We start from the raw sequence: 26959 nt of genomic DNA on the forward strand, positions 1-26959 counted from the left end.
AAAGACATATGCAAGGTATATTCTGTTTAGTATATTCTGGGAATGAAAGAGTGTTTAGTATATTCTGGGAATGAAAAGATTTGTGAGATTGTGAATAAATGTATAACAATAGATGAAGTGGTTTGGAGGTGAGAAATGAGGTTCAGGAATTTAGCTTTGGAGATGTTAAAATAGAATATATGTCAGTTATTCCACGTAAATTATAGGTGTACATTTGGATTTTTGAGTCTGAGATTCATAGGAGAATTCTGATATAATACTGGGGAACTTTTGCATATGAATGAAGTTGGCACAATATTTATAGGTCTGCTAGAGGAAGACAAGACGGCAAAGCAGACTTTTAAAACATCTGGGAAGGAGAGAAGGGAATTTAAAGAATGTAGAATTACGAGAAGGCAGGAGAGAAAATCTCGCAACAAAGGATAAATAACTTGTTGACAGATGATGGGATATAACTTATCCATTGGATGTGACTACATGGAAGTCACTGATATTTTTTAAAAAAGAGTTTGGTTAAACAATGTTAAGATGAAATTGAATGAATATGGGAAAATGATGACCAAATGTGCAGATGAATTTTTCAAGAAGTTTGGTTGTAAAACAGTGAATAGGTATGGGAAAAGTAAGAGCAATGAGACATAAATTGCTTATACTAGGCAAGACTTAGAGCAATTCATCTTCATGAGATGGTGTTGGAGATTATGCCTTGTGCTGCCTTGCTGAGTGCAGAAAATGAAAAGGTTCAAGTAGAGGGGAAAAGGTTCAACTGGAGGATAAGAAGTGGTGTACAGAGATGCATCCTTTCCTCAATTTCCACAAGTAGATCTGGCTTTTTAGAGGTTGCTCATAATCTAAGTTGTATTGTATTGTATTGTATTGTATTGAGATGGAATTTTGCTCTTGTTGCTGAGACTAGAGTATAATGGCACAATCTCGGCTCACTGTAACCTCCACCTCCTGGGTTCAAGTGATTCTCCTGCCTCAGCCTCCCAAGCAGCTGGGATTACAGGCATGCACCATCACGCCAAGCTAATTTTGTATTTTGAGTAGAGACGGGGTTTCACCATGTTGATCAGGCTGGTCTCGAACTCCTGGCCTCACTTGATCGACTCACCTCGGCCTCCCAAAGTGCTGGGATTACAGGTGTGAGCCACCATGCCCAGCCATAACCTAAATTTTAAATTGAATATTGTTCCAATTAGGAGAGGTTGTTTCAAGTTTGCCATTCTCATGGAAACCCCACACTAGATTTCTATGCCATGACTCATAATAGGAAAGACTTGTCCCTATTAGTCCTCTAAAGCCCTGTGGCAGCTATGGACATCCAAAGGCTGTTGCTAGGAGTCCCATAGCACACACTAAAACTTAAAGGATGACACTTTTGCAACCTAGTAGTTTTCCAGGGGTTGGCATGATAACATGGAATTTCAAGAATTTTTACTCAGAAAAGGTTATAGTACATTCATTTGGTATCCAGTAAAATTTAGATATTAATACTACCTATTGGGTACAATGAACACTATTTGGGTGATGGGTGCCCTAAAAGCCCAGACTTCACCACTAAGCAACATATGGGTGTATCACAACTGTACTCATACCCTATACATCTATAAAAATAAAAAAAAATAAAAGCACATAAAAGATAAGTTATTTGAATAATCTGTATAATATTTTTTTCATCAAGAGTGTTAGATACACGTCAAATCGATCACATAAATATAGTAATTGGCTATAGATTATGTTTAGAGGGTGAAACAAAGATAACAGATCTCATTCTACACAGAATAAAAAAGGAAAATGAAAACATACAACATTGTGGACAGCAGCCAGGGATGTGAGCAGAAATAAGTTGGTAGTATTTCTTTGTTCACGGTCACATAGGTAAGAGTCACGTATTTATACCAATAAAAATTGATGTACTTAATATATAGCTTTTTTAATATAAAGGAAGTGAATCAAAAATGATCTTAACCAAGGAAGAAAAAGGACCAAGGATTAAAGACGTACGTTTATCCGCATCCATCCATTTTCCTCTTCAGGCTACTTGTACCATTATTTTCAAATCTTTGTATGGATATTTTAGGAAATACTTTTTTTCCCCTTGGAAATAGTAAAGTGTCTGAGCTCCAGAGGGTGGTTAAAGAAGATTGATAAGTAATGACTGCTGAATAATAGAACAATGAATGTTGTGAAGCATTTCCTTTTCATCACGTAATCAATGAGTCTCCAAGTCAAAAGCTTTGCAGTTCAGAAATACTATAGTTGGAGACAATTTGTTCTAGACACAGGAAGAAAACACCAGCTAGTAACAGCCATCCACTTAGGAGAAAAATACTTTTTCTTTATAAGAACTGCCTTGCTCAAACAACATTAGTATTAGTTGAGACTTTACCAACAGATAAAACCTAGAAAGAATAATTTAGCATTTTTGTCAAAGATATAAACACTACCAACTTATTCCTGCTTCTATCATTTTTGAAGGATGTAATAAAATCATATTTGAAACAAAAACAAGACTGCTTTTTTTTTTTTTTTTTTTTTTTTGAGAGGAAGTCTTGCTCTGTCCCCAGGCTGGAGTGCACTGGTGTGATCTTGGCTCACTGCAACCTCTGCCTTCCGGGTTCAAGCAATTCTCCTGCCTCAGCCTCCCAAGTAGCTGGGATTACAGGCACCCGCCACACCTGGCTAATTTTTTTCTGTATTTTTAGTAGAGACAGGGTTTTGCCATATTGTCCAGGCTGATCTCAAACTCCTGACCTTGTGATCCGCCCACCTCGGCCTCCGAAAGTGCTAGATAATAGGCATGAGCCACCACGCCCAGCTGTAAGACTGCTTTTTAAAACTACGGAAATAAATATATGTTGATATTTAGTATTATCTAAGATTATGAAACATTTTGTTTTAACAATATGTACAATATTTCACAATAAAGAAAGAAGGATTGTGTAGGAAGGCATTTCCATTTCATACTTTTTCTCTCTTTTTTTTTACTGTTTTGTGTCTAGAGTGCAATTTATTTTAATTGGAGGAACAGATCACATAATATTCTGTATTTAACCTTAACTCTACTCCCTTGCCCCAATTAAGTAGAACCAGATAAAACTGAAATGCAGTAGTAAGAAATTTCAAGCTTCACAGCCTGCTGAAAAAGGCAAAGGCCCAAGAAAATTGTGATCTTTTGCGGAGGAAAAGACAAAAAACAGCTGAAGGGAGGTGGTTGCGTCAGTTGGCTATAACTAGGAATGTCTCGGAGCCACGTTAAGCGCCAGTCCTGACATGGCTGAGAGCATAACTGTAATCAGCAGGAGACACAAACACACGCATTATTTTTCTTTCTCTCCCCCTTTTATTAGTTACCTTTTCAATTTGTTCTGACTGCATCCTCAGGAAGAAGAGAAAACAGATACTGATGAGCACTAATTGTCTCCACCACGCCTACTTTAAACATCTGATTTGGCAAGAATTTACCCCAGTCTCTGATATTTCTTTATGTCTCAATACAGTGTCTGCCACACTTTATCGTAGTACTTTTACATATACTTCCATTCTACTTGCCCTAATTAAAACATATTATAATTGAAAGGAGTGGTAGGTTGAATGGTACCTGTGCCAAGGATGGAATTTTATAGACAGCAACACATTTTATCTCAGTAACTAGCTTAATTCAATGTTTTTCCATAAAAATTCTTTTCCTAATAACCCATAGAAACTGCCTAAAGACTTGCTAAGCAGGGAAGTGTGATTACACAACTGCTGTTACAAGTATCTCAATGCCACTGAACTCACCAAACCCCTAAAAATGAAGAACTTAGAAAAACTTTGCTTTGTGTTTAGATCATCTCTATCTATACTTCTCTATTTTGAAACATTTTCTCCAAACCCAATCCAGCTTCATGCCCAGATAACTTTATGCCTTTATTTTGCTCAATGGGGCCTTCTTATGTCATCATCCAGCCTGGTTCTCCCCTCTTTGACCAGCATACCAGATATTTCCTAACTTACTTCCTCAGTGACTGCTTAACTGTTTTATCCACTATCTCCTCAAAAGCTGTCCTATCCTCGGTTATACTTAGTCAATGTGATATTAATCTTTGTCACTGTGTACTAATACATAAGACCCGTCAAACATTGGAAGTATTACTCTAGTGAGAAAAATTTCATAAGCCAAACATGAGAAAGTCAAATGAATTTCTCTATGAGAACAGAGGCTTTAAGCTAAATGGGGTACAAAATTTTAATAGAGAAGATCTTTGTTTCCATGATATGATTGTAAATGACTATACAAAGGACCTAACCAAATTATATCTCCTAACATAAGCACTGAAATTATTGATAGGTTTAGGTTTTAGAAGACATAATGGTGGACAGCAAGGTGAAGATAGTGACTTATTGGTTAAAACATAGTCTGCATAATTTTTAAAGTAAGTTCCTGGCCATAGATATTTTGTCATTAATAAATTAAAAGAAATGACTGGTTAATGTGAAAACTTTAATATAATATGGATATATTCTGTCCAGTTACAAAAATATATTTTGCCTAACTTCATTAATTAAAAGAATTCAACGTTACAGTTTTTTTAGGACACAAAAGTATAACACTACCACCAAAGCAATGAAAAGGATGTTTGTTTTCATTCTAGCCTTGGAAACAATGAGAAGGTTTCATCTGCTGCCCTATTTATGTAAATAATGAGATTCTAAAATAAACAGAAAATCATCAGGCTCCACATTAACAGAATGCCTTCAAGCAAAAAAGCATGACAGCCACATATGCTTTAAACTTTGGGAAACACAAATGTAGAGTGAGGAAGATAAAACCAGTCAAACAATCAGGTTCTACACTTAACTCGCAAAAGTTTTTTTTTTTAAGTCATTTTTCCCATATAGAGCTCAGTTTATTGGCTAGTTGGTTGGTTTTCATTATCTAGAAGTTAAGGAAGTTTGTCCCTTCCATCTCTAAAATATTATACTTACGAGGAGGTTAAATATTACTTAATTAGCATAGCAAATGGCAAAAATACAACAGTAAATAAAGTATACTTTTCTATAATTTCCTCTCAAAAAACAGCTTAATCTTTCTTTATAATACATACAGGGGTACATCAGTGACACTTATTTTTCACGTAATTCTAAGGCAACCAGACAGAGATGAAAGAGAAATTTAAGTACCATATTTTCCATCCTCCTGAAATTCAGGAAAGGTCTGCTTTCAGAAACAACACCATTTAACGTAGGTCACGCACCTGGAATATTCACACAATCCCAATAGAAGCAAGAATGATTCACTAAGGACAGAAGCAGGGCACTGATGATTTGTTAACTTTCACTGAGACCTTTGCGTGAGTGAACAAATCTTGTTAAATTTCATGCCCTGAACTTCATCTGTATGTAGGATTATATTTTTGAATTTCCCCCGAGAATAATCATTGTAACCTTTTATCAAGAGTGGGTTTGTTCTCAGCAGAGGCATCAACCCACCCCCGTAACCCACTCACCGCAGGGAATAAAACAACCATTGTCCTATGGAGAAGCCGGCAACGTGAACACCAGAGGACTGCACCTGTTTGTTCACTGTTATCAAATGCCAGGCTGGGGGCTACCCCTGGTAAGAGGGCTCGGACTTCTTAAACCACAGAGCAACATAAACTCTCCTGTAGAAATCTTTTGTGTGCAAACAGAAGTTTAGCAGCATGCTTTCTTCCTGGGAGGAAGAAAGAGCACGCCTTTTACCATCGGGCCTTCAAGATACATTCATTCTTTGCAAACTGTCTGTTATGAATACTAAGCTTCCCATGAGTGTCCAGCTTCAGTTTAAAAGGAAGCAATGAAAGACTCATGAAATGAAAACGATATGAATATAGCATCAAAACTATGTCTGTCTTGTGAAGAAGTAATTACTTGAGTCACTTATAGAAAGTTGAAGTGTTCTTGTCAGGTTTAAAATTTCAAATTAGCTTTCTATGGCATATTGAAAAGATAGTTTTGCAGAATACTTTGTCCTAATCTAAAGCTCCAAAAACAATGAGCTAGGTGTAAGTTTGGGGTGACACAAAGCCTGATTTCAACCTTTAATGAGATGTTAAGAGTTCAAGGGAGTGGGCTATTTTAATTACTCCCATTTAGTAGGAAAATATATATGTCTCCTAATAGTTTTAAATAATTAAATACACACAGCCATACCAATAAGCAAATGAAAATATACCTTCATGGGTACATGTAATAGCTCTTCACTTCAGTGCCATCTTTTCTTTATCCTGCCCTCAGTACAGTTTGTGATCTCAAATTCTGGATATGCAATTTCACAAATCCTAACTGCTGACTGTGGCAGGTATCTCCACAGATACAAACATAGAACTTGACTGTTTATCTTTGGAATAAGTGTGTGTGTGTGTGTGTGTGTGTGTGTGTGACAGAGAGAGAGAGAGAGAGACAGAGAGAATATGATTGCATAGTTCATTTGTAATTACTCTTTTACTCTTTCTCTTGGCAGTATGTTTCAAAAGAAATATGTATGTTTTAAAACATAAAAAATAAAAAGTAATCAAAAAGAAAAGAAAACCAAAAGGGTTTCTTGCAAGACAGACCCTAGAGCAATTTGAAAACATCAAATAAAACCCCTCCAGCATGTTCTCCCCATGTGATGCCTTTGTACATACACTTCAGCCTGTGGGCACATTTCCCATGACACACACCATGTTTCAGTGCCATGTTGATAGATATAAACACATATGGATTACTCATTTGCCATTCTGTCTATTGAGTTCCATACGGTTTTCTGTAAAATTAATTTTATATAAAAATAAATTATTGGGAGCCAAATATCGTTTCTGACCATGAATAGAGAAATAGAATTATAACAATTTGAGTGTGTTTCTCTTTGGATGTGTCAGTGACACACAATGTGCATGGCTATGCATAATAGTTAGATATTATACTCATATAGACATATAAATGCATCTGTGTATGTGTCTATACATATGCATCTATACACATGTACATATAAATATATGTATATAGAGAAAAACAACATGTGTATACACACATCCTCTTTTTCTGTTATATATTTATTGGCTATTTTGCTATATCTCTCTCTGGTCTTCTTATTTGCCTTTTGCTCAGTTCCAGGTATGTGTCAATATTTATTTTTCTTTAGGAAACTTTGAAATAGGTATGACCTGTTGACATGTATGGATTTATTATTACAATTATTTTACAGAAAACAGATTTTCTATTTTTTTAACATAGTTATGCTTTAAAAAATAAAATAAAATGACAGAGTAATGTTTTATAAACAACTTTTCTCTAAGTCACAGAATTTAAGGACTTGAAGCAAGGATATAGACATAATTGTTAAATATACTTTCATGCCCAGCAAACAAGGGAGACATATAGTCATTATTTGCTTTCTATTAGAAAATCCATGGTCTTGTATCCAAGCATATGAAAACCATTTAAAAACTTTTACAGTGGTTCTAAGCAATGTGAGAGTTTAAGCTGTCAATTACCTTATTTACGGAGTAAAAGAATACAAACAAACATGAAGTAAGTCTAAACACTTGTGAAATGCTACTAAGATACCTTTCTTAAATTTTCATGTTTGGAGTAAAGATTCTAATTTTAGAATGCAACCCCCAAGCTTCCTGTGGTTACCGAGTCTGCAAACCAAGTCTATTCTGCAGGTGTCTCACATCTCCACTGTTTTGACAACAGTTGCTTCACTTCTTTTTAACACACTGACAGAGACCCAGCCGTGTTATAGCAATTGAGCTACTGAAAACACTATCAGCGATAGCCTACCCTTTCTTTAGAAGTTCAAGTTTTCAAGCAAACAGTAACTGGGTATTTTAATTATTTTTAAAACTCCCAGAAAATACCTAATAAATTAGATCTTAGCCAATTAAAATAAGTTATCAAAATATTCTTAATGCAAGTTCATCAAGTAGGAGGGGTAAAAAATATATTTGGTACTGTTTCTGCTTATTTAGAACTAATTATGAAATATCTAGGCATTCAAATCCCATTTTATTGTGGAATGGAGATTTAAAAGGGAGCAATGATTAATGACTTTCAAATACAGTATAAAAGTAATCTCTGGGGAAACAAATTCTTAGCTGAATTGGTAGCTCTACTCAGCAGGGACATTTGAATAATTCCAGGGGAACTAAGAAATTAAGAAATGAACAATGAATAGGATTTTCTTGGCACCACTAGGAAGTCTTGTGTTAAAGGCTTGGCACCACTGTTAAGCCTTGGCTTAAACGCAATATTTAAAATCAAGTAAATTGGTTGTGTTGCCCAGTTCACTTTCCTTTTTTCCCTCCCCAAAAGTCATCAAAAGTTTTTCCTTTCTTTGTTTTGCTATTATTTAGCCTTAGCAGGAAAACAAAATAATTTATTTTTAAAAATGAATCTATCTTTAATGACACATAGCTAAGAATAAACACATTTTGTTACTATTATTATAGCACGTTGTTATCTCTATGCCAGAAAATAAATACACACAGAACAATCAAACCCTAATAGAGGTCCCTAGATATGCACATAGAGTTGCATTTTTTAATTAAATGCTTGAACTTCAGTTCCCATGTGCTCAGAAAGCAAAACTACAGCACCGTTCTCTGCTGAATTGGAAGGGGTAATGTCATGTCCTCACTTGTTCTAAGCAGAAAACTTGAGGACTAAGAAAATGTGACTCACATTTTGCCTTAGAACTTTTCCAAGAAGATAGGTAGTAGGTAGGTATTATCAAATAATGAAAGGAAAGAAAGAAAAAAAAACTAAGAAAATTATTCTTTCGTAATTGAAAACTCAGTGCAAAAGGTATTAGGTGATTTATCTAAGGTATAAGTGGAATGAGAATACGAATCTTCTGGTTGCTAGTGAGCCTAGACTACTAAAATCAACCATATCTGTCAATGAAGAACCAATAAAGAACACGTTTTACATAGATGTGGCAAGGATTAACCAATAAATTAATATTCTTAAATATTGTTACTCTATTGAGAACTGCATAAGAAAAGTGGACACAAGAAGGGAACTAACATATATTGTGTTCTAAACACTATGCTAGGCAGTTTGCATACATTGTTTGCATTTCATTCCCATTTTCAGATGAAAACTGAGGCACAGCACATAAGTGATTGTGACTGTCCTTTCTTTGTTGCAGTGCGAGTATTAAGTTTCAAATTGTCAGGTTTCAAAACTCAGGCTTTTTTCTACAACTTCATGTTGCTAGGGCTAGACGAGAATATTTTGGAAATATTGTTTTTATAATCTAGAAATATGCCTTCTCATCTAGAACACATAGGCTGGGTTTGAATTCAAATAATAAATCAAAATTCTCAGGCCAAATTTAAATTTCTGCGTTAAGAATCTTTCAAGCATTTTATCTCTGAGCTCTGTTTTTATCACTTTGCCCTTCCAAAACCATTTCTGACTTTATGCGTAAGTCTTAGAGTGTTTTTTGGATACAAGAGCTACTTAATTTTCTGATTGTTTTACATTTTTTCATGGGTAAAGTTCTAATCAGACAACTATAAATGACAATAATCAGAGTAAAAAATTATATACATTTATGGATTGTCAACTGTTTGCCCTTTGTATCTCAATAATTTTATTATTTTTTCCAAAGGACATTCCCTATTTCACCAGCTAGTTGATTTAAATAGTCATTTGAAATTATAATTAGAAATATTTTAGAAAGAAAACCATTTGAGGGGGGAGTGTCCATCATTCTATGTTTATCTATACATGTGATATTTAGAAACACACTCATGGCTTAAAAGTTCCCATTTCTGTTAATTTGATAATTATATATTACCATTGATTTCCTCTTTAAAAATACAAAATTTTGTAATTCCAAAGGAAAATGTTTCAAAGATGTCTTTGGCATTGAATGTTTCTTACTAAGTCATATTTTAATGGATTAAAATGTAAATGAACTTTAAAGTTACACTAAATCTCTCCCTGATTTAAATTATATTAGACATTAAAATTAACATGAAAATGGCTCCATAAACACTATTGTTTTAAATATTTTTACATTATTTTATATTTAATAATGAACCAAAAGTAACAGAAGTCACTGTGCATAGTAATAGTCTTAAATACATAAAACGATTGAATAGTTACTTAAATTATGCACTGGTGATCTTCAATAAAATCACAAAGGAGTTGATAACCTACATTGTGACCCCTGATGTATTTATTTTGCACAAGTGATAGTTAGGTTCTCGTAATTTTTAAGAGGCGCTTGAGCCAAGACACTAATTCTTGATTCACCTCTTTTCCCTGAGCACCATAGGACTGCATTTGAAGCATGATACAATTTTAATTACAAAGATTTATCATTACGACATGCAATTTCTAAGTACGTGAAATGACAGTGTAATGCACAGATGTGAAGTTCAGCCACACATTCACTATGTGAACAATGGTATCAATGACACAGGCTGCTTCCTTCCATTCTATATTTCTACCCATGCTTTATAAAAGATATATCTATAGGTATGTTAAGTACTGCTTCATTATCTTCTCCATCCTTTCCTTGCAAAACATACTGCCCAGTACTCTTTGAACAAGACTATGAAATTCATATCAAATTTGATAATCTATTGTAGATATTTGATGACTTTAGATTACAATTCGGTTACACATGAATTATGGCATCTATATTGTTTATTTTCTTCCCACTGATCAATGAAAATGTATACCTAAACATATATAGATTGGCATATGTTTTCTTTAAATCTTTTTGTTACCTTCCTCTTTCTAGTATCTTGAATCAAATTATATTTTTGGAATAATATAGTTGAAAAAGGACTCGACTAACAGTAGGACAAGAAAAACCCTCATCTTAAGTAAATTATTTATTCTCTCTGGGACTCAGTTTCGAAATGAGAGAGGGGTTAGACGATCTTTAAATTCTCTCTTAATATCGCATCTACGATCCTCTTCAACTTTGCTTTTATAGAAGAATAGATTAAGAGATTTTTATTGCTCTTTATTTCCAAAATATGTGCTAAATTTAAGTGTAGTGTATTCTTTGATGTCTAAGTCTGAAATATACTTGTTTCAATAAATAAAATGTGAGCTCAAAATAAAACAACATAAAATGTGTTTATCTTAAGGCCATACACAAATTCTGGAAATAATTAGTTAGAGGGTTTCTAAACCTAAAAGGAATTACATGCGTTTCAATAATTTTAGAGTCTCCTCCATCTTTTTATCAAAAGTAACCCCGAATATGTTACTATTCTTCACAAAGGGAATTGAGTCTAATAATTATTAAAACTAAAATATATATTTTATAAAACTCTGCTGTAAATATGTACAAAACCAAATGTAGTTTAGGGAGGCAAAAATCACTTACTGTAGCTATAGAAGAAAGGAAGTCATAAATATTTTATTTAAAATATATAGATCAACTTAGCCTGTCCATTTATACTTGGATATTTCAAAATGGTATATATTTATACCAGTTGCCAACTAGGGAGTAATTTTAGTTAGTATTCTGGTCCTTAAATAAAAAATTCAAAAAGTGGAGTGGCTATAATGTATGAATAAAATTAACTATAAAATCACCCTTCTAATATCTTCCTTTAATAAGATAAAATATGATTTTCATGAAATCAGTAATTAGAGTCATCTCATAGACTTGAGATCTTTTTCGAGCCTGCCATTTTTCTCATATTGATTTTCCTTCCTTCCACCTCATCCACAAAAAATTCTCTAAAAAATAAATACTAGAGTAATAAGATTTATAGAAGACATCACCCCATGAGTAACAAAATAAAACACGCTTCAAATATAACTAATTGTCTTTTTTTGTCTTCTAGTGTTAATAAAGAAAAGGCTATGAAGTCCGTGCCCAATTAGGGCATTTCAATCCACTCTGTTATTATACTTTATTATTTTAGTTCCCTGTGTCTGTAGAAATAAGCTTAAGTAGCCTGATAGCATACTTTTCAATGTAAGAAATAATTTAATCGAATTATACAATCTGTATCTCTTTTAGAATCATTTCATTTCCTAAGTAAAAAATCTACACTAAGCAAAGTCTCATTCAGCTAAAAAAAAAAAAAAACTGCCTTGAAGAGGTGACACCTGGACCACATGAATAATTTTATGCATCCCCTGCTCATTCACACATAGCAGAGGATGACAAAAGTTTAGTGTCATGTGATCCCCTTTCTTCTCAGAATCCCTATAGCATTGTGATAAAAAGAAAATCAGCAGTTATACTACCTAGCTTCAAATCTGAACTCTATAAATTATTGTATGCCCTCCTTGTGGTATATTACTTAATATTTTTAAGTCCAGTTTACTTATCTTCAAAATAGAAAGAATCATAGTAACCTACAGTGATGGTTAACTTTAGACGTCACCTTGACTGGATTAAGAAATACCCGGAAACCTGGTAAAGCTTTATTTTAGAGCATGTCTATGAAGGTGTTTCAGAGGAGATGAGTTTGTGAGTCTGAGTAGAGTTAAGTAGGTAAGATATGCTCTCAATGCGGGTGGGCAACAGCCAATCTTCTGGGGACCAAGAGGAACAAAAACAGAGGAAAGGTGAATACATTCATCTGAAGCCAGTACACACTCTTTCTCTCTTGCGGGACACCAATTTCAGGCTCCCTGGTCTTTGGACTGCAGGACTTAGAACAGTGGCTCCCTGCACCCTAAGGCCTTTGATCCCAGACTGAGAGGTACACCATTAGCTTCTCTGGTTCTGAGGCCTTCAAACTTGAAGGCCAGGTCACCAGCCTCCGAGGTGCTGAGCCAGGTCACCAGCATCCGAGGGTCTTCAGCTTATAGGCAGCCTGTTGTGGAACTTCTCAGCCTCCATAATTGCATCAACCAATTGTCCTAATGAATCCTTCTCAAATAGCTATTATCGTTATCTGTATCTATATCCTATTGGTTCTGTCTTTCTGGAGACCCCTAACTAATACACCTACTAATCGTGGTTATTGCAAGGATGAAGAGAGATCATATTTGCAAACCACTTCTACATAGTAAATACTTATTAATTATGGTTGTTATTATTGTTATTATTAACAATAGTATCTCTATCCTGGGCTGTACTATGCCATAAAGATACTTTGCTTTCTACATTTATTATCCTAAAAAGGCAAGTCATCAAAACCAAAGGCACAAAGCCTAAATGAATTCTAGTTATATGAATAATTTTTTAAAACTAGTAGAATTTATTATTGTGTTCTTATTTGTATACCAGCAGATATATAATCCTACCCAGTATCATCCTATTCAACATTAAAGCAGAAAGTTCAGAGAATTCAGGGCACCATCAAAATCAAAATGACATACTTATTTACCAGAATATTTGCCAGAATATTCTGAGACCGCCACTTAAAAAAAAAAGACCAAATTAAAACTTGAAGTCCTTCTATTTCATAGTAAATTGAAAATCAAAAATACCCTTTTTATATCAGCTTTTTTCAACACTACTAATAATATAAAATCAAACCTTTGATTTTCACCACAGAGAAAATGAAACTGAGTAAATTGAATGCTCTTAGAAGGAAGAAAAAAGTTATGGATCACCATTTTTCACTTTTTTCTTATAAATATTCTTCAAAATTGTTATAGTCATTATGATTCGATAACCTAAATAATTTTACATGGCTTACAATAAAATTATAGCTAGAAGATATGAAATATGTTATACAGACGGATCATAAAATATTAAGGAAGAGGGGAAAATAGTAAGAGAGCTAGAATAACTTGCACTTCTGGTAAAGAAGACAGATCCTCTTTCCATGCTGATGTATAATAACAATCTTCAGATCTATTTGACATATTATTAAGAGAACAAAGTTTAAGAAAAACTCCCAAAATAAGTATTTTTTCTGCCTTTGAACTATATTTCCATCTCTTTTCCCCGTAGAAGTGATAAATCAACTAGATCTCAAAAGAAAACAAAAACAATCATTAAAATTTCCTGGTTAGTAACATTTATTATGCCAAAAAGTGTTGGGCCATGCAAATTCTCATTTATCTATTTCCTGATAGATACAGATAAATGGAAAATTCTATTCATCATTTACAAAACATTGACCATTTTTATTGTAACCTATTTTATATGCTTCCACAGTACACAGTTTCACCATTACAATAGCTATGTTATAATTCTAGAAAAGTAATAAGAGGTATATTGAACTTCTAGCCTATTTGAATGTACTGTATTGTATTAATTCTAAAACACATACAGTTTTGGATCTAATATCTTTAAAATCCTGGTTCCTTGTACAATCTTTTACATTTATGTTGGTGCTTTTACTTTTTCTCTTTTTAGAAAGTGTGGACTACAAACAAAAACAACAGTTTGTTTCCTACAATTGATGATGGCTTAAATTTGTTGAAATATGGCAGATAGCTATTTGAGAAAACATTTTATAAAAGGGTTTTTCGTGTTACCTTGTTATTAAATAAATGCTATAATTTTTTTAAAAAAACTTTTAACATGAACTGGGGAGTCCTAAAGATAATCGGCAGTGTCTATTCTAGAAATAATTCTTAACAGATTTTTCAGAATAATAATAATTATCTTCTATTAACACTTACTTCTTTCAGTGAAACCATTAAAGAAATAGACTTTTTCTATTAGTCCATTCTCACATTGCTGCGAAGATACCACCCAAGATTGGGTAATTTATAAAGATAAGAGATTTAATTGACTCACAGTTCAGCATGGCTGGGGAGGCCTCATGAAACTCACAATCATGGGAGAAGGGGAAGCAAACACATCCTTCTTCACAGGCCAGAAGGAAGGAGAATGAATGAGTGCCCAGAGAAGGGGGAAGCCCCTTATAAAACCATCAGCTCTTGTGAGAACTAACTCACTATCATGAGAACAGGAAGGGGAAAACCAACCCCATGATTCAATTATCTCCACCTGGTCCCTCCTATAACACATGGGGATTACGGGAACTACAAATTCAAGATGAGATTTTGGTGGGAACACAGCCAAACCATATCTCTTTGAGACCCATTTCTAATTTCAACAGATACTTATACTGTGGAAACTAAAGGTGAAAGTAAAAAATTTCATTTTTAAAGTGTCATTTATCTGACCAACAGAAAACCCAAGTCATAGCAGCTTAAAACATATTTAGAAGCAATGCATGCCATCCAGAACCCTGCTGACTCAAATATAAAATATGGTTAAGGCCCAAATCAAAAATGACACATTCTGTATTCTACAATTTGATGATATAAGCCTAATATGCTTTCAATAATTATAAAAATACACTGTGTCTATTTTTTTACCAAAATCAAACTTCTCCTCAAAAAATAATCACATTTATTTCCAGAACTGCATTTAATGTTCAATATGTACTTGATAATTTAACTTTTATAATCATCTTACAACTGAGCATCCTTGTTATGTTCATTTGAAGATAAGGAAACTGAGGCTTAGAAAGTTGAATCATTTGCCTCAGAATAGAATTTGACTCAGGGAGCCCAGATTCTGAGCCTGTCTTGTGATTCTCCACGTTATTGTGCTTGTAAGTCCTTGCCTGCTGGATTGGATTTAGTAAAAGTCTGGTCCCTTTAGTGCTGCACTGTCCAATATGATTGCCATTAGCCAAATATGGCTGTTTAAATTAAAATTAATTAAAATTAGATAAAAATAAAAATTCCTATCTTCATTCACAGCAGTCTTGTTCAGAGGGCTCATTGGCCACATCTGGCTACTGGCTCCTCTGTTGTGTGGCACATATTGAATATTGCTATCATCCCAATAAAGTTCTATTGGACAGTGCAGCTTTTGAGAAGAATAGACATGCTTGACTATAAAAATAATAATAATAATTGGCTTCACATGGCAGACGGAGGGTAAATATTTGTCAGAAATATAGTATTTACTGAGAGAAGACAAGCATGTAGAGATAATTTAGAATAGCTCATATCTCAGCACAATGACTTGAATGTACAAGTAGAACAAAACAAAGCTAATAAATATTTGAATTGACATTACTTTCCAAAAGAATCCTAAACTTTTACCAGTAAAATTAAGTCTATTAATAAATGTTTGTGCATTACAGATAAGAGTTTAGCAAGCAAGCTTGATTTTTAAAAAGCCATAGCTGAATGACAGTGGCTATAGGATGAGTAATAGATTTTTAAAAAATCAAATTCAGTATTTACAATATTGTTGTATTGCACGTTTGCTTGTATTTTATTGTCAACTTACCATTCATGATATATTCAAGTATTATATAATGATCAAAACAAATTCTTTCTAAAATACAGCCTTAAGACCTATTGCTCAAGTTTGGATTGTTTACTTTTTTCAGCCAATTTAATGGTTCACTGACAATAGTTTTGCCTGAAGAAATTGTCTTAAACAATTTTTGGGAGTGACATATGAAGAACGGGTAAATAGATCTAGATTCCAGCACAAGGTTCACCTGATTAGCCACAAGACCTTAGGCCTGGTTTCCTTAGATGTAAAATTATAATAAAGATATCTGCCAGGTCAGCATTACAGGGCTGTGTCTGAAACAGATTTTTTTTTTTTTGAAAGGAACTGAAAGCAGTTTGCAAGGTGCAAACTTCCATAACATATGGGATATTACAATTATCATGCCTTTGGTAAACGCTGGAAGAGAACAACATGTAGCCTCATTTCTGAACTCTGACTGAGGGTGTTAGGTTCTGCCAAGCTTGAGGCTGCCTCCTCTAACTAAACTTGATGATGTATTTACATATTCTAAAAAATTACTATAGACATCTGTCAAAAATAGCATGCACTCTTCATTCCCTCTAAAATATAGATTTGGTGGCCGGGCATGGTGGCTCACACCTGTAAACCCAGCACTTCGGAAGGCCGAGGCGGGCGGATCACGAGGTCAGGAGATCGAGACCATCCTGGCTAACATGGTGAAATCCCATCTCTAATAGAAATATACAAAATTAACTGGACATGGTGGGGGGCGCCTGTAGTCCCAGCTACTTGGGAGGTTGAGGCAGGAGAATGGCATGAACCCGGGAGGTGGAGCTTGCAGTGAGCTGAGATTGTGCCACTACACTCCAGCCTGGGCCACAGAGCAAGACTCCGTCTCAAAAAAAAAGGAAAAAAAAAATATATATATATATGTATATAGATAGATAGATAGATAGATAGAGATAGATATAGATTTGGTTTATTCTTAAATATTATTCCTACTGTTTCCAGTCCTCTGCCATGAAATCAGAAAGTGCAACAATCCAGTGATTCTAGCCCCAGCATTGTTGTGCCTCCCTTGGTAACTGGGAATGGATGCAGAGAATTTTTCAATACTTTGCAGTTCAGGGTCTGAAAGCCAGATGAAGCTAATGTCCTGGGGTAAGGGTGGAGAGGTGGGTATTGATATATTTACTGTTTTCCTCAGAGCAAAACGATGGAGCCATTGTTGTATTAAAACTAATCAATTTCTAGTACTACATTTGGGACTCTGAGGAGCAAAAATGTTCCTCTTTTTCTAAACACCAAAGCAAACAAGCATGCTTCCTCAATAGATGAGCTTTAAGCAAGGGGGTTTGTCTCCCTTATACATTTTTTTCCTTAGGATATATAAGCTTCCTCTCTTAGGGAAGGGAGAAGACAGATTTTACTGTATCTTAAGAAAAAGTAAGAATGATCACAAAGGTTTAAGGTTCCAAGTAGGGAAGTTTCCTGAGAAATTCCATAATGCTAGGCTTCCCCTAATATTTTCTAAAGGATGCTCTAGGGATTAAATAGAATGTTCTTCAAAGAGTGAGGCATCTTTAAGATTCCTGAAGGGGTCATAAATTAAGGGAGCTGAATTATATGCCCTGAGCAGATCATCTTGCCAGTCATGACTGAAAACATGTGAGCAGAGGAGAAAGGATGATTCTATTCCCTGAACGCCCAACCCCACCACTTATTTTGGCTTATTTCTCCTCAGATTTCTCTCCTTATTATCTCTGATTCTTGGTACAGCAGGAGGAGAAATTCTCATTTCCCCTTCATTCAGTTCTATAAATCCACTCATCAGTTCTCTAACGAATCAGTTGTCTGAGAATAAGTCCCAGCAAAATTTGCTGAAATGGCCATTATAATCTCTGATCCCTTAATTATAACATTTCCTCTTTTCGAATATATGTTTCTATCGACTGGTATTAATACATTATTGGAGTTCTCCTTTTTCTAGTCAATACACAGTCTGACATGACAAGCAAACAATACTCTTTAAAACACTGATGAGAGTATCATTTCCAGAAATTGTGGACCTGATCTAAAAATGGACTCTTCCGAAGAATGTGCCACTCTTTTCACTGATTCTCTCTGACTCACTTAAGCTTCACTATAGATTAGTTTTGATCTAATCATTTTCCAAGTAATTTACCCTTAAGCTAAGAGTACTCTTAGATTTTTTTTTTTTTTTGGCGGCAAATATCACAATATGCTGAATAGATCTTCTAATGTAAATGTTTGTAGTACTTTTGTTAAACATTCTGTTTAACAACAATCCCTGAACTAGCCTGGTTGAACCCACTCAAATATTACCAAGACCTTTCACAGGGTAGTTGAAGAATGCTTAGCAACTCTTGTGTAAGAAAAAGAACTCAGAATGAATATGTCTCTTGTGTAGGTCAAGACAAATGTCAGGGCCAATAAAGGATGAAACATGATGATGGAGATTTGAAATGAAGGGCTGGGGCAACAGGTGCTTGGCATGAAACACTGAAAGACAGGAGAGAAGTGCTGTGAGGTAGCAAAGACAGCACTCTTCCTGAGAGTAGACAAAGGCCAGCCTCAGGCTTCTCATCACCAGAGAAACAGATCTTAAGCACAAAGTAGTTAGAAGACACACTGAAATTTGGAACACTTTTTTTTTTTTTTTTTTGTCTAAACAGGTCACACCCAAAGCCCCAAGGAAACAACAGGAATCTATCCGAATACGCAGAAACAAATACAATAGTTTTCTCAATGTGGTAAAACAAAGGAAAACTATAAACAAAACAGATACAAGGAAAGAACACTAAGATTTCTAAACACCCCCAATGTGAAAGATGCTTTAATTGACAAGTTCCCTGCTTTCTTTCTTTAATGCTCATTACAACACTATGAGGCAGAATTTTCTTCACAGTTTTCAAGATAAAGAATCTGAGTCTCAGAGAGACACCCAGACTGTAGGTGGTAGGCCAGGTCTTTGCACAGAGATTTTTTCTGATTTCACAATTTCATATCACTCTATGACATATATTGAGTCAATGACAGGTGACTTGTCCTTTTCGATATTAGGTTATTTATTTGACCATAACTGAATAATGCCAAAGAGGCTTGAGAGACTTAAATGTGAAAAGGTACTACATTACTTGGATGTACTACTTAAATTAATAACTTATGCATATTTGAAGGCAGACATTCAAGTGTAATGTTCAGATATCACATCTTTCAAATTTTACAACATTTACATGTTGTAGTTTCTGGATGAAGCATTTTATTTATTTATTTATTTATTTATTTATTTATTTATTTATTTTGGGACAGGGTCCCTCTGTGCCATCCAGGCTGGAGTGCAGTGGCATGATCATAGCTCACTGCAGCCTCGACCTTCCAGGCTCAAGAGATCCTCCTGCTTCAGCTTCCTGAGCAGCTGGGACCGCAGGCATGTGCCATCAAGCCTTCTATTCTATTTTTCATCTACCAGAATCCAGCAAACTTCATATATTATTTTCATTACTATTGAGGGCTTCTAGGTATAACTTCGGTATTCTACTTTTTGTTTTAAATTTTTGTTTGTCCATACCTCAGATAATAATCAAATCAAGATGATCCAGTACACAGTTAACAAAACAATTACAATGTCCGTAAAATATCAAATAAAGACTAAAACATATGAATATGTTGGTCTGAAAATATATAGCGTATTCAGCTAATTTTTGGAAAACACCAGTTGTATTTCTGTATCATCCCAAATATCGCCTTCTCTAAAGATATTCTCATAATTTATAAAGTGAAAATTCAAATATCTAAGGTGAAATGTAGTGTGATAAATATAGGTATATGTGTATTAAATTCGTACCTAGGTTATCATTGCATATCAAGATGAAACCACATTTATCTATTTTATATGGATATACATAAAATAGATATGAACTTAAGCATTTATCTCTCCATTTAAGATATAAACAAAATAGATAAGAACTTAAGTATTTATCTTCCCATTTGGGATATAAATAGATATAAACTTAAGTATTTATGAAAGATTCCTTTATATCTACAATATAATATATAGATTAAATTGTATCACATTACCAACCATTAGTAACAGATGAGGTGATTTTATAAATTATAGAAGGGAGAAAATAATAGTGGGTTTTATGGCCCATATAATTCCTTTTAGGGTTTGGCCAGACTAGTGACTAAACAAGTAGAAGCTTATAGAATTAATTAAGATTGTATATATACTATTAAATGTCGATTTGAATAGGAATGTTTGGTTAAAAAAGAGGTGATTAAAAAAAGTCAGCAGGACATCCTCATCAAGAGTGATTAATAAGAACCACAGCCATGTGCAAGTGACCTTAACGGAAGACATGATGTCCCCTGTCCAGCTATGGACTTCTCTGATGCAGTAGGGACCTTCCCAATGGCCTCAAGATAGAGATGATTATATGACTGAAGGGATGCACTGATGGAAGTATAACCTCTCCACTGGCAAGAAGAAAGTAAGGCAGTGTTAACAGGACACCTAGAGCATGCCAATGTAAGTTCCTCACTCCTTTATAGATTGTGTGGCCTATTTTTAGTCTAGGCACCTGCCTCTTTCCCCCTCTACTTATCATCTACCCTGTGCATAATGAGAAATGTGAGAAGCAGCAGTAAAACAAGTTTTTCTATTTGGCCAGAAAAATAGGTTTAAATCCATTTATTGTCTCAGTCACAACCAACATGAAAGTATGTAAATAAGATCTGCAGTAATTTTTTAGGCCATGCAGCAACTTTTGGTGAACATTAAGCTAGTTAGTAATAATTTTTAATGTGCGAATTAATCTGTATATGTCTAAGTGACATCCAACCATTAGCTAGTGTATAATGACAGTCTTCATGTTAACTAATATCTCTTTTACACAAAGTTTGCAGAAAGCTAATGTGCTGTTCTGAACACACACTATTCTAATATCAAACAGTGAAAAAGATTTAAGTAGAAACGCAAACCATATATATATATATACACATGGTTACACTATATATATATATATACATGGTTACACTATATATATATACACACTATATATGTACACTATACATATACACTATATATATACACTATATATATATACTATATATATATATATATATATACTATATATATATATACACACACACACAAAAAAAAAGAACACTTAAAGTCTTCATCTCAAAACTCTTGGTTACAACACTCTGTACACTTCCCATCCCCATAATTGTTACTGGTTATTTACCCTGTCGAAAGTACTTAAAAATAAAATTTTGCTTAAGAAGAAAATTCATCACGAATTATTATTGTCTTTTTAATGGTTTATCATTATACAAAGTTGATGTTTGGCAAAATGATTATAGAAAAACTTTATTCCCAGCATCTTCCTTATCTTTAAGTCATTTTATACCCAAGTTTCTATCCAGGATCCCAGTGTATTATTTTCATTTTCACCCGAACATGCAGTGTATTTCTTGTCATGAAAGCAAAACCTTATCTGTTCCTTTCCCATCCCTTCCTTTCTCTCTGCAAGATGACAGATGAATAAAAATTATTTGCAGCAAATAAGTGTGAAGAATTCAACTGGATATTGTGCTACCATTTCTTGGTAACATACCATTAATTAGAGTAGATCTTCTCAAATTGTAGTAATCATCAACATCACTAGAGGGATACTTAACACACAAGTTGCTGGGCCCCACCCCCAGAGTTTCTCATTCAGTAGGTTTCAGGTGAGGCCCAAGGATTTGCATTTCTAAGTTCCTGGATGATGCTCATGGTGATGGTCCATTAAGAATGGAGTTAAAAATGTAATACAGTATGGTAGATTAGGCAGTGAGGTATCCGACTAATCAGCAGATTTGCTGTCTCCCCTCATTTTATACCAGGTATAAAAAATTAAGGCCAGTCCAGTAGCTCTGCACTTAATAGAATATAAAAATGTTGTTTTAAAAACTCTTGCTTTGTATAACACAAAAGCAAGCAATATAAAACAAATATTTTTCCGAAGCACAAAAACAATCTTACCTGAACTTAATTACGGCACTTATTTGTTGCTTTAATCGGGTTACCTAGAACATTTAGCCTTTTAAGATTTTGCCATAGAGAAAATTTTATCCCATATTCTTCCATGTGAACTGTTAGGTGTCTTCTATCATTTCTTGCATATTCTTGCACACAAACACAATCATGCATACATGTAACTTCTGATTCTTACAATTGGAGTAACACTATCAACCAGAATACCTAAAGTTCAATGACCCTAGACTGTTTCCCTTACAGAATAATTTTGGCACATAACAACCACCTAATAAATAAAATATCTGAAAAATGTTCATATTAGCCTAAATTTCTACCATTTTGTTGCACTTTCTTCAATTCATACTCAAAAAAATTAATAACTTTTGAATGAGTATGTATTTTTCTAAACAATCAACTCATTCTCTTAATCACTTATTAATTATCCATTTGTACTATGGCAAAAGAAAATCTCACAGCTTCTAGGCAAAGTGAATAATAATATTCTTGAAATAATAGTGTTATATTTTGGTATGCACAAGTTAAACAACTGTCACAATCTTAAGTAATACAAGTTATGCACTTACTCGGTATGAAGTATGTTTAAATGTGGCATAATTTTGATTGATTAAATAATTCTGCTCTAATAATTTAGTAGTACTGGTATTAAATGTGAAAATAAATAAGGGAACTATTTAAAGACTAATTCTCTATGTGGAAAGATTTCTCAAACAGCACATCTTATGGAATAATAACAAGATTCCAGTATTATACAAAAGTTTGAAAGAAATTTATTCATTTTTTTCTTTACTATAATCAGAGGGAAATCATGATGAAAACACAATGCTTCCTATGCAGGTTTTAACTGGATCATATTACAGTATTTTTAGATTCCTAATTTCAATCGTTCAATTGTTCTCTACACATTTCATTTCCAAAATTCTTTCTCCTATCATTATTTCTATATAAGTAGCAATTTAGTAAAAAAACTCCATTCTTCAGTAAGAAAACTATCTTTGAAAGAAATAAAAGTGAAAATGTTGATGAAGGAATCTATAAATTCTGAACAATTTGCATTCACCATTATTTCATCAACTCTATAGCAATCATGTCCAAAATAAATAACACAATCAGTATTCCTTTCTTCACCCAAAATATCCCAATTTTATTTCATATGTCTGGTTAACTATAAAGCTATGTCTAACTTAAAACTAGAAATTTAATATCCACTTCAAATATAAGAAACAAATGATTTCAATATTCTGACAACATTCATCTTGCTTTTTGTTATATTCTAAGGACATATCTCTAAACTGCTTAATTTTTCAATGTCAATAATTATTACCACTTATTGTACTCAAAGTACATATAAAACCACTACAGGTTTGGATGCAAAATATATAGATTATTTTAATTTATAGTAAATTAAAAGTGTAAACTCCTTTATCCTACAGTTAGGTACTAATTATTTACTAATTAGCTCTCTTTTTTTTTTTTTTTTTTTTTTTTTTTTTGAGATGGAGTTTCGCTGTTGTTGCCCAGGGTAGAGAGCAATGGTGCGATCTCAATAAGCAGCTCATTTTGATTACAGGTATACATGAAGTAAAATTCATGAAGTAAAATTCATTATACCAAAAAGCCTCCCACAGAACTTTCATGCACCCTGAGCTATGTGAACTGAAAAGTAACAGTGGGATAGCAAGAACCAGCTTACAAAATAAATTCCTATCGAGTGTTTTTCACAGAAGGATGATAATTTTAGGTTGCTTACATCATATATTTCCAATCTTAATGAGAAAAACCTACTCTGATGATCTGATGTTATTGAAGTATTCTGAGAAAGAATTGCTGATGGGATTTAGTGAGCTACTGAATAAGAGAAATCAAAACTGTATAAATTAGATATATTTTCTAAAAATAAGGTGATTGTGCAGAAAACTAAAGATTCATGGAAATAGATATAACAGCTTGGATATTACTAAGCGCTAATGATAGTTATCTCATTATTGCAAGGATTTGATGATATGGTCCACTGTTCACCTGAAACCACCAAACACAGCATGTTTCATATCTCAGTTTTCAGTCACAGAGCATTTCCAGAGTTTACTCCTGTTCAGCTGAGATACAGTATTATGGTATCCTTCACACTAAACTTACAAAATCTATAAAGAAAAGCAAGGGCATCACAGGGCATCATTGCTTATAAAACAAATAAATCACTGATATTTAAATGCCTTAGAGTGTTCCTCAATGTAACAAATATGACAGTAACCCTACATATACAATTGCCTTATATTGATAATGAAAGCATATTTGCCATTTTGGATATATTCCTTACCTGTCAAGTTCTTTAATCCAAGTTCTTGAAGTCCAAAGTTTCCATCTTTTCTGTAGTTTAAAAATATTGCCAAGGCATATCGATCCTCATAAAGTTTTGTCCCACGAATAATGCGTAAATTCTCCAGAGGCAGGTAACGAAACTGATTAAGAGCCACTAACACGTAGCCTGTGACTTCTCGAACAGACTGAAAAGACACAAACAGTTGCCTGTGTTATAAAACGAATTTGTCACTCTGTATATGTAGCAATTTAGATTAAAATGAGTTATTAAACTCTAATTTTCAGTTTTTAGTTTAATACATTATTTTCCATATCATATTCTAAAGAATTGGCTTCATAATAAAAGATCACAAAGGGTTAGAATCTCATTTGAAGTATAAGTTGTGTTTCTTTTAAACAGTTATGAATGTGCTTATACTAAAATGATGGATTTTGTTTATGGGACCTTCTTCATACCTGAGATTTGAATATAGTTAAAGGAATAAAGGTCTTGCTTATCAACAGACTACAATAAGTTAAGGACACACAACCATCAGTCAAACTTTAAATAAAAAAGCATATTGGTGAGCCTAAGTAAAACAAAGCCATGTTAGTTTGTAAATTGTAGGATAGGTTTAAAATGGCTCTATTGGTGTTTGGTGCTATATTTATCAAATAACAATTGCCCTGTACATCTCTAGGGAACACAAACATAAAAAACATGTATTAAAAACTAATTGTTGTGGCCGGGCATGGTGGCTCATGCCTGTAATCCCAGCACTTCTGGAGGCTGAGGCGAGTGGATCATGAGGTCAAGAGATCGAGACCATTCTGGCCAACATGGTGAAACCCCATCTCTACTAAAAATACAAAAAATTAGCTGGGTGTGGTGGCAGGTGCCTGTAGTCCCAGCTACTTGGGAGGCTGAGGCAGGAGAATCACTTGAACCCAGGAGGCGGAGGCTGCAGTGAGCCAAGATTGCACCACTGTACTCTAGCCTGGCGACAGAGTGAGACTCTGTCTCACAAAAAAAAAAAAAAAAAAAAAAAAAAACCTAATTGTTGTCTATAAATTCATTCCAACCACATTTTTAATTTTTACTGCCCACTGTTTAAATTTAGTTGTCTATAATAAGTTAATTATTTGAGGGTTTGTGAGACATTTTAAAGCAAAACAGTGTCATGAAGAAAGTCTGAGTTTCATCTAAATATTTTTTCAATAAAATGATGATAAATAGTTGTCAGAATTTAAAAAAAACTAAAAATGATAAAAAAAATACTCAAGTATTTGGTATTATTTTAATACCAATTTCATGTTATTCTAACTAACCCTTTTCATTTCAGATGCTCCAAGGCTGTTTTTGGTACTTCCCCCCACCCTGTCTATTCTCACTCCCTTGGTGATCTTATTCAGTTTCAAAGTTGGTGATCTCCAAACATTTATCTCTATACTTTCCCCAAACTCCAGATTTATACCCAACTGTTTACTCAACATCCTTACTTGGATGTCTAGTATGCTTTTCAGATACACCTATCAATGGCTGAACTCTTTTCTTCCTCCACCCCTCTGGCAGCCTTCCTCATCTCAGTTCAGGTTATTCCATCTTTTCTGACTTTCAGGCCAAAATTTCAGTCATCTTTGACTCTCCTCTGACACCCCAAGTGTGATCCATACTATTTGTTCTACGTTCAGAATGATCAGAAACTCAACTACCTCTTACGTCATCCATGGCTCCCACCTGAGCCATCATCATTCCTCATCTAGGTTATTGCAATAGGTCTCCTTGAGTCTATTCCTGATCCCTATGGTGTATTCTCAATTCAGGCTAGCCAAGATATTTTAAAGACATAAATCAAATTACAACACTTCAGTGCTTAAAACTCTGAAACATCTCCTAAGTCACTCAGAGTAACAGACAAAATACTTTTACTGATGTATCAAAATCTTTATGCCATTCAGTGCAATAACCACTAGTCATATGTGACCTGAGCAACTGAAGTGTAGCTGGCATAAATTTAGATGTGCTGTAAGTACAAAATACACTCTGGATTTTGAAGATTATATGATGAAATGATAACATTTGAGATAAATTAAGTTAAATAAAATGTATTATTAAAGTTAATATCAGTTGTTTCTTTTTATCTTCTTATTGTGGCAAAACATTTTCAATTACATTTTATGGCTCTTATTATAATTCTGTTGGAACTGCAGTGTATGATCTAGTCATCAGTTCTCTTTCACATGAAAAGTATAGTTCTACCTTAAATTGTGCATTATACCCTTAAAAACCTGAGTTTCCTTTCATCTTGTTATCTTCTTGGCAAACTCCCTCACTACCTTCAAGTTTTTGCTCAAATATCACCTTCTCAGTTGAGGCCAACCCTGATAAACCTGTTGAACACTGT

General features: G+C 33.9%; 1 protein-coding gene across 10 annotated transcripts in view; it reads right to left on the bottom strand.

Moving 5' to 3' along the window:
- ERBB4 (erb-b2 receptor tyrosine kinase 4) overlaps nt 1-26959 on the bottom strand; it is a 1163086-nt gene that overhangs the window by 547140 nt on the left and 588987 nt on the right. For all 10 annotated transcript variants that reach the window (NM_001042599.2, NM_005235.3, NM_001439006.1 and 7 more), the window contains exon 3: nt 24574-24760. In NM_001042599.2, coding sequence (NP_001036064.1) covers nt 24574-24760 — 187 coding nt within the window. The remainder of the gene's footprint in view (nt 1-24573; nt 24761-26959) is intronic.

Source organism: Homo sapiens, chromosome 2 (assembly GCF_000001405.40).
Source record: "Homo sapiens chromosome 2, GRCh38.p14 Primary Assembly".
Classification (NCBI taxonomy): domain Eukaryota; kingdom Metazoa; phylum Chordata; class Mammalia; order Primates; family Hominidae; genus Homo; species Homo sapiens.